General features: G+C 54.2%; 3 annotated features.

Annotated features, from left to right (window-relative positions):
* Positions 2,617–3,216: an enhancer, noted in NCBI's record as "H3K27ac-H3K4me1 hESC enhancer chr10:134293876-134294475 (GRCh37/hg19 assembly coordinates)". NCBI's record gives its function as "activates a minimal SCP1, AML or CMV promoter by ChIP-STARR-seq in primed H9 embryonic stem cells {active_cell/tissue: H9 hESC(primed)}" and the evidence as "EXISTENCE:reporter gene assay evidence [ECO:0000049][PMID:30033119]".
* Positions 5,620–6,221: an enhancer, noted in NCBI's record as "H3K27ac-H3K4me1 hESC enhancer chr10:134290871-134291472 (GRCh37/hg19 assembly coordinates)". NCBI's record gives its function as "activates a minimal SCP1, AML or CMV promoter by ChIP-STARR-seq in naive H9 embryonic stem cells {active_cell/tissue: H9 hESC(naive)}" and the evidence as "EXISTENCE:reporter gene assay evidence [ECO:0000049][PMID:30033119]".
* Positions 6,222–6,822: an enhancer, noted in NCBI's record as "H3K4me1 hESC enhancer chr10:134290270-134290870 (GRCh37/hg19 assembly coordinates)". NCBI's record gives its function as "activates a minimal SCP1, AML or CMV promoter by ChIP-STARR-seq in naive H9 embryonic stem cells {active_cell/tissue: H9 hESC(naive)}" and the evidence as "EXISTENCE:reporter gene assay evidence [ECO:0000049][PMID:30033119]".

Below are 7,739 nucleotides of genomic sequence, written 5' to 3'. Positions count from 1 at the left end.
ATCTCTTCCTGAGCTTATTGGTCGTTTGTATATCTTTCTGAGGAACATGGCTATCAAATACTTTGTCCATTTTTATATCGAGTCACTTCTTATAATTCATTATTATTATTGTAACTATCTTTATTTGAATTATGTTTTCTATTTGCTGATGTTAAGAAATACAATGGCTTTTTATGTGGATCTTGTAAGCCGGCTACCTTGTTAACTTTCTTTTAGTAATTTCTCTACAGATTCATTTTGTTTTTGTAATAATCATTGCCTGGAATTTATGAATTATGTTCTTCCTTTCCAATCCTGGTTCTCTTCACTGCTGTTCCAGTGAATGACAAGGTGTGAGGCTGCCCTGCGTTAAACCTCGGCTGGATCTCTGCCGTGCCGCTGAGGGGAGAGTATTCCCACCTTGGCTCTGGATTTTTTTTTTTTTTTTGACGGAGTCTCACTCTGTCACCCAGGCTAGAGGGCAGTGGTGCAATCTCGGCTCACTGCAAGCTCCACCTCCCGTGTTCACGCCATTCTCCTGCCTCAGCCTCCTGAGTAGCTGGGATTACAGGCGCCCGCCACCACACCTGGCTAATTTTTTGTATTTTTAGTAGAGACGGGGTTTCACCGTGTTAGCCAAGATGGTCTCCATCTCCTGACCTCGTGATCCGCCCACCCCGGCCTCCCAAAGTGCTGGGATTACAGACGTGAGCCACCGTGCCCAGCCTGGGCTCTGGATTTTTAAAGGGGATGCACCGGTGTTTCCCCATTTTTGGTCTGCTGTAGGTTTTTGGTAAGTTTCCCATTTCTAAGTTTGAAAAGTCTCTTCCTTTTTTCCTGAGTGTGTTTTGAGTTGTGTTGAGTGATTTTCGGCATCCACTGGGATGAGCCTGTCTTCCCCTTTAATCCGTTCATGCGGTGAATGAAAGTTATCGATCTTCTCGGTCTAAATCACTCACATTCCTGGGATAATCCCAGCAAATCCCAACACAGTCATGAGTGTCATCACCTTTTAAAAATAGACGCCGTGAGTTCAGTGTGCTAATGATTTGTTTAGGGTTTGTACGTCTTTGTTTGGGAGTGAGATTGTACTAAAACATGATTTTTCTTGGACTATTCTTGTCTGGTTTGTTTTAAAGATTGTAATGGCTTCACAATGATTCAGGGAGTGCTCCCTCCTTTCTACTCTCAGGAAGAGTTTGTAAAAGACTGGAACGTTCTGTTCCTTGAAAGTTTGGTAGAACACATCTGTGCAACCCTGGGCAGGGGAAAATAAGAACCCTGTGAGTTCTTAGTCGGAACAGATCCCTCTTACAAAACAGAGATGAATAGAAGAAAAACAAGCAGAGGCTTATTAACATGTGTGTTTCACGTATGTGTGGGAGATGCCTAGGGCATGAGTCACTCTCAACGAGGCGGCTTTGAATTCCAGCTTGTAGAGCATCTTTAACAAAGAGCGATAGATTTTCAGAGAAGTTCTGGGCAAAAAAGAAAGACTTGGAGTCTCTGTAGGCAGGAACTTGAGGAAAAGCGAATAAATGTCAGATAAAGGCTCCTTCATAAAGCTTGTTGGTGCAGATTATTCTGGAACTATCTTCAGGTGCAGGTGATGAGGGTCTGAAGCTGTCTTCAGTGGTTAACCTTTGTTCTCCCTAGTAGAGGGGGGCAGGATTCCTTCGTCTTTGTAAGCCCGTGTCCTGTGTCGAGGGGGGACCGGGAGCTCTACCTCCGTTGCTCCTCGCAGAGGCCCTCAGCCCCACAGGCCTGCTTTTCAGGAGGCGCGTTCTGGTCTCCCACACCTGTCAACCTGAGTTTTCTTGCAGGAGATTTTAAATCAATGGTTAAATGTCTTTAATGGTTGTAGAATTATTAGGTCATCTCTTCCTTCTTGAATCAATTTTTTGTCATGATCTTCTGCGAATGTATTCATTTTCCACAATTTTCTGGGAATGTATCCATTTAAAATCTTACCTGTTTTGGAAAAGATTTCAAACGGACTGGTTCCTGATATGTTTATCTTTAAACTTCTGCTTGTGTTTGATGATTCTCCTTTTCATTCCTAATACCGACTCTGTTCTCTCTCTCTCTGTTTTTGCCAGTGGCGTCTGTCACCTTCATCTTTCTAATAATCAGCCAACATTTGTCTTTGATCCACCCGATTTGCCTTTTATTTTCTATTTCCTGAGTTTCTGCTCATATTTGTATCTTTGTCCTGCTTTTATTGCTTTAGCCTCTTGTTCTTTTTGTCACTTACGTTGAAGGCTTGGCTCATTAATTTCCATTGTTTCCTTCTTTTAAATCTGTCTAATTTCTGGAGTGAGTTAGTTGCACTTTGCAATATTCCATATGTACGTGGAGAGTTTCATGTACTCATACATAATAGGCAGTGCACCCACTGTAATCTGGTTCTAAGCATTTCTCATTTCTATCATGTGTTATTCTTTAACTCACGGCTTTTAGAAGTGTATATTTTATTTTCCAAATAAATGGTAATTTTGGAAGGTTCTACTTCTTTTTTTTTTTTTTTTTTTTTTGAGATGGAGTCTGGCTCTGTCGCCCAGACTGGAGTGCAGTGGCGTGATCTCGGCTCACTGCAAGCTCCGCCTCCCAGGTTCAAGCAATTCTCCTGCCTCAGCCTCCCGAGTAGCTGGGACTACAGGTGCCCGCCAGCACACCTGGCTAATTTTTTTTTTTTTTTGTAATTTTAGTAGAGACGGGGTTTCACCGTGTAAGCCAGGATGGTCTCGATCTCCTGACATTGTGATCCACCCACCTTGGCCTCCCAAAGTGCTGGGATTACAGGCGTGAGCCACCGCGCCCAGCCCCTGAAAGCTTCTTCTTATCTCAAATTATTAAGATCAGTTGTAAGATCTCATGTTGACTGTTAGCTCGTTGCATCCTGGTCAGGAAACATTGTTGCTACAGCATGAACTGACTGAAGTCAGCTCACTCACTTCCTGTGGGATGTGCAGCTACTTTTCCCAAGTGCTGCATGTACTTTGAGAACAGGAAGGCCCCTTGGACTGCCAGGGTGCCAAGCCTGGGAGGGATGTCCATTCATTTGTCCACATAGCTAGGAAACCCTACACCACAGCTCAGTGTCTCAGTAGGGCACTGCTCGACGACTCAGAAGGATGCCAACTTCCCCGGTGCCCCAGGCAGGGAGAGTGTCTCGGCTCCAGTTGACCTAGACTCTCCTTCAAGTCTTGCCCAAGCTCTCCGACCTTCCTCGGTCTCCCTCAGGGCAGCCTGCACTTCCATATACGGAGGTTCTCATCGTTTCTTGCCTCTCTGCCTGCACTTTTTTCTGCCATCTACACCTATTAGCTGACATTTGTCTGTAAAGAAGAGCCTTCCCTTCTCCCCCACCTCTGCCTCCACATCGTGCATCCTAATTGTGGAAGTGCCGGTTCTTCCCTCACTCAGTGCCCTCTTCCGCCCTGGGCCACTGGCCTTGGTCTGGTCTTGGTCTCGGTCTTGGCACATCTGGGAGTTGTCCCAAATGTGCTGGCTATGAACTCCTCACACTGGAGCTGGCACAGGTGAAAAGTTGAAAGAGAGATACCAGCTGATGTTTACGAAGATGCGATTGAGAAATACCAGCTGATGTTTATGAAGACGCGTTTGGAACAGGGCATGTGCATGTCCTGGGGACCAGCACGGCAGCTCGGCCACCAGGACACAGGGGCACTGCCTGTTCCCTCCCTGAGTGGTCAGTGTTCTTGGGCCAGTGGCCATAGTCAGCTCGTTCTCTGTCACCAGCGTGTGGGTCACACAACATTGGGAAGCCCTGTGTACACATTTCCATGTGTCCCGTGACAGGTGGCAGCTCCTCCCAGGACACCAAGAAAGAGACCAAGGGGCTGGGCTGGGTTCACAGTCGGATGTGAGTGGCCTCCAGGCCTGCAGGACAAGGAGGCCAAGCACTTTCTGCAGCCACAGGGTGATTCCTGATGCAGGTTTCCATCCCAGCGTCACCTGTGGTGGCACCTGCAGCCCCACCCATTGGGAGCTCATCTTCTACTCCCTAGGGGGGCAATGCAGAGGGGTCTACTTCTTCCTCTGCAGTGCGAGGCGGGGTCGTCTTCTGCATTTAGAGTCCAAGCCAAAAGTCCCCTCCAGAACCAGCTCACGCAGGGGTCTCACGCCTTTCTCCACCCACCCTCAGGCCCGTCAGCCATGCATGGTCCCGCAAGGTCACTGAGCCACCCTAAGCCCTGGCCTTTTCCCTCTGTGGGAAGGGGCTCAAGGTGGGGCTCTAGGTACGGCTAAAGGTGGGGCTCAAGGTGGGGCTCAAGGTGGGCCCCTTGTCCAGCTCCTGCTCCAGCCAGGGAATGGGCTCCATGGATTCATGTCCACCAAGAACCTCAGGATGTGGCTTTATTTGGAAGTAGCCTTGCTGATGTCATGGGTTAGGGATGTTAGGGATCTCTGGATGTGGTCACCCGGACCTAGGATGGGCCCTACAAGGATAGCAGAGAACACAGAGAGGAGTCCGTGAGAAGGCATGGCTGGGGTGATGCAGGCACACGCCCAGGAACGCCAGGAGCCACCGGGAGCCGGCAGAGTCAAGGAAGGGTCCCCCCTGAGGGACAGAGGCTTCGGAGGGAGCGTGGCCCTGCTGACACCTTGACTGCAGGCACGTGGCCTCCAGCACTGTGGGAGCAAACACGTGTCTTAGCCACTCACATGCTGGCTCTGTGGCAGCAGCCCTGGGACACCGACGGGAGCCCTGAAAGGGGCACAGCCTGAGGCGCAGACGTCTTCGGCTAGGTGCTCTGTGACACCCTCAGGGCCAGAACTGTCTCAGTGCCTCCTGTACAGGTGGAGAGACTGAGGCACAGAGTTGGCAGAGGTGGCAGAGGTGGGGTTCAAACCATGCAGCCCGGGTTCCTGCCACCCAGCAACTGCCCCTCCCAAGTGCTCAGGGTCACGTCCTCTGGGCCCCAGGGGCAGGGTGGAGGCTGCAGGAGCAGGTGTGCTGGGGCTGCCAAAGGGAGGATTGCACCCACTTCCTGGGGTTTGCAGGCCTCGGCAGCGGCCTTTGCCCAGCTTCAATATCCCCGGGCCCAGAGGGCAGAGGGTGCCGGGGGGAAGCCCCTTCAGGCCTCTCCTTTCTCCCCCCTGTACCCCACAGGACCTGCTGCAGGGGAAGGGGCCAGGAGGCCAGGAGACTGGACAGCAGGAGGCTCGAGGACCACGCAGACACTGGCCTTGGGAGCACCCACCTCTCTGACCCGCTCCAGAGGGGGCTAGAGACCTGGAGGCAAAGCCCAGGGTCAGAAACCACAGATGGCTCCTAAGGCCAGGTGGGCAGCTGAACCCAGCAGGGTGAGGAGCAGGAGGTATCCCTGGGCCCCAGCACCCACCCAGTGTGGTGCCCCCAGAGCTGGCCTGGAGGAAGATGCCCCCCCTGCTAGACCTCAGGGCTGACAAGCCCCCTGCGAGGGGCTGCGGGGCCATGGGTGGGGGCTGCTTTCTCCCGGCTCCCTGGGCCCCAGGGCCCCTCTCCTCAGCCTGGAAGCCCACATGCTCCTGACTCCATGGCTGTGGTTCTTGGCCCACACTCTGGGTTCTGGAGGCTGAGGGGGCTCCGACGGGGGCACACCTGACATCTGCTAAGGAAGCAGGAGGTCCCAGGGCACAGCGGCCACATCAGCTGGAGGCACTGGGAGAGCTGCACTCCCGGGCTAAACAGAGCCAGGCATGTGCTCCACGGGGAGTGGGTGGGGCACTGCCCTCAGTGGTCTTGGCCCAGGCTGCCTCTGGCTAGCGAGGGAGTGCGCTCCTGGGTGGCCTGGCTGCACGGCCGTCCTGCATGGCCCAGCTTTTGTCTGTGTCCCTGTGCAGCCTCATAGGCCCCGCAGCCCCCTGGGATCCCATATCTGCACAGGTGGCCTCTGCTGGGAGGGAAGTGGGTGGCTCTGATTCCTCTCTGGCTCCTGTTCTCTCCTGGGGCCCCTGGAGGTGGGCGGGCGGCCTCGAAGCCTGCCTATGTGGAAGAAGCTCGGACGGCACCAGCAGGATGGTCGCAGGACTCAGGGGCCCGGGCTGCACCTGTTGTCTGGCCTGCCTGTGCTCGGGTTTCTCCCTCCCTCCTGGAGCCCCCAACCAATGGGGGAAGCAGGCAAACAGTGGGGGCCCCGCCTGGCCCAGGGAAGGCTTTATGGAAGAGGCGAGGCCTGAGACCCCAGGAAGGAGGAGCAGCCTCTGGGTCAGGGGAGGGCAGGGGCCAGAGCTGGCAGGAGGCGCAGCTGTGAGCTGGGGTCTGGGGGCCCTGACTGGAGTCTGCGGAGGGCCCTGGGATGAGTGATCAGATGCTGTGTTATCAGGAGGAAGTTTTTGGGGAGGCTGGCGGTGGGGACCCACTTGTCAGAGACGCGTGTGGAAGTGGGTGAGACTCAGGAGACCCTGGAGCAGGGATGAGGGAAGGAGGGACGAGCTGGAGAAAGGAACAACGTGGGCATCCAGGAGGGCCTCACTCCCTGTCTCCTGGGGTCCCCACGCCCACATCCCTGGCACCACCAGCTCCTCCCCAGGCTGTCGGGGACCCTGCACCATGAGTCCTGCAACTGCTCCTGTGACCGCTGCAGAGTGGGTAACAGGAGGGAGTTGATAGAAGCCCTCAACCCAAGTGCCCCCAGCTGATGAGCACCCCAGCGGCATCTCTGACCCGGGCCGGGAGCCCTGGCTTTCCAAGCACATCACAAGCTAGGCCACTGGCAGATGCAAAGGTTGGGCTGATTAATGCTTCTCCAGTGAAATGCCACAGGGGCCACCCAACATGCGGGCTCGCCTGTCTGCAGCTGTGAGCAGCTTATTGATCAGCTGGGGAGCTTGCAGAAACCCAAAGACCTCAGTGCAGACATGGAGATGGCACGTCCCTAGGGCGCCAGGCCTGGGGTCTCAGACAGCTGGTGGGGGACCCAGCGTCCCAGCCTGGACCCAGGAGACCTGAGCTGGAGCCCCTGGGGAGCTCCCCAGTCTGTGTCCATTCTGGGACCTGGGTTCCCAGGACACAGTCCAGCTGGAGACAGGGTTTGGAGGTGGGAGGAACTTTGCACCTGGTTCCCAGGACACAGCCCAGCTGAAGATGGGGTTTGGAGGTGGGAGGAACTTTGCACCTGGTTCCCAGGACACAGCCCAGGTGGAGATGGGGTTTGGAGGTGGGAGGAGCTTTGCACCTAGGCGCCTGGTCTACAGCAGGTGCTGTGTGACCGCAGGAGGGGGCTCACCTCAGCCCAGCTCTCCATCAGGCTCGGGAAAGGAGACACCTGGATGGAATGCAGAAGGTACCATGGCCGGTGACCACAAGAGGTGAAGGTGGCAGGGTGGCCAGGGGCTGGGTGCATGGCCACCTTCAGCTTAAGTTCCAAAGCAGACGGGTGTGAGGGGAGCCAGGAAACATCTGCTCATAGATGCCTGCTCTACTGGGGTGCAGGAGTCCCCTCAGCACTCCGGGAGGAGACAGACGGGGCAGGCACACACACACACACACACACACACACACACACACACACCTGCATGTGTGCACAGACTTTTGCTCACATACACATCCGTATGCACATGTACACGTGCACAGAAAATCCATACGCATGAGTGCATAGGTGTGTACACACGCACACGTGCACACACCCAGAATAAAACCATGTGGGCCTGTGAAAAGATCCACCATCATAAAGGGCAGAGAGCTAGCCGGCCAAGAGGAAGATAAAACAGGCTTCGAAAAGATTTTCTCGCAGAGATTCTCTCACTATTTT

This window comes from Homo sapiens, chromosome 10 (assembly GCF_000001405.40).
Source record: "Homo sapiens chromosome 10, GRCh38.p14 Primary Assembly".
Lineage (NCBI taxonomy): Eukaryota > Metazoa > Chordata > Mammalia > Primates > Hominidae > Homo > Homo sapiens.
The sequence above is the reverse complement of the archived record's forward strand: the minus strand, read 5'-3'. Positions and strand labels throughout refer to the sequence as shown.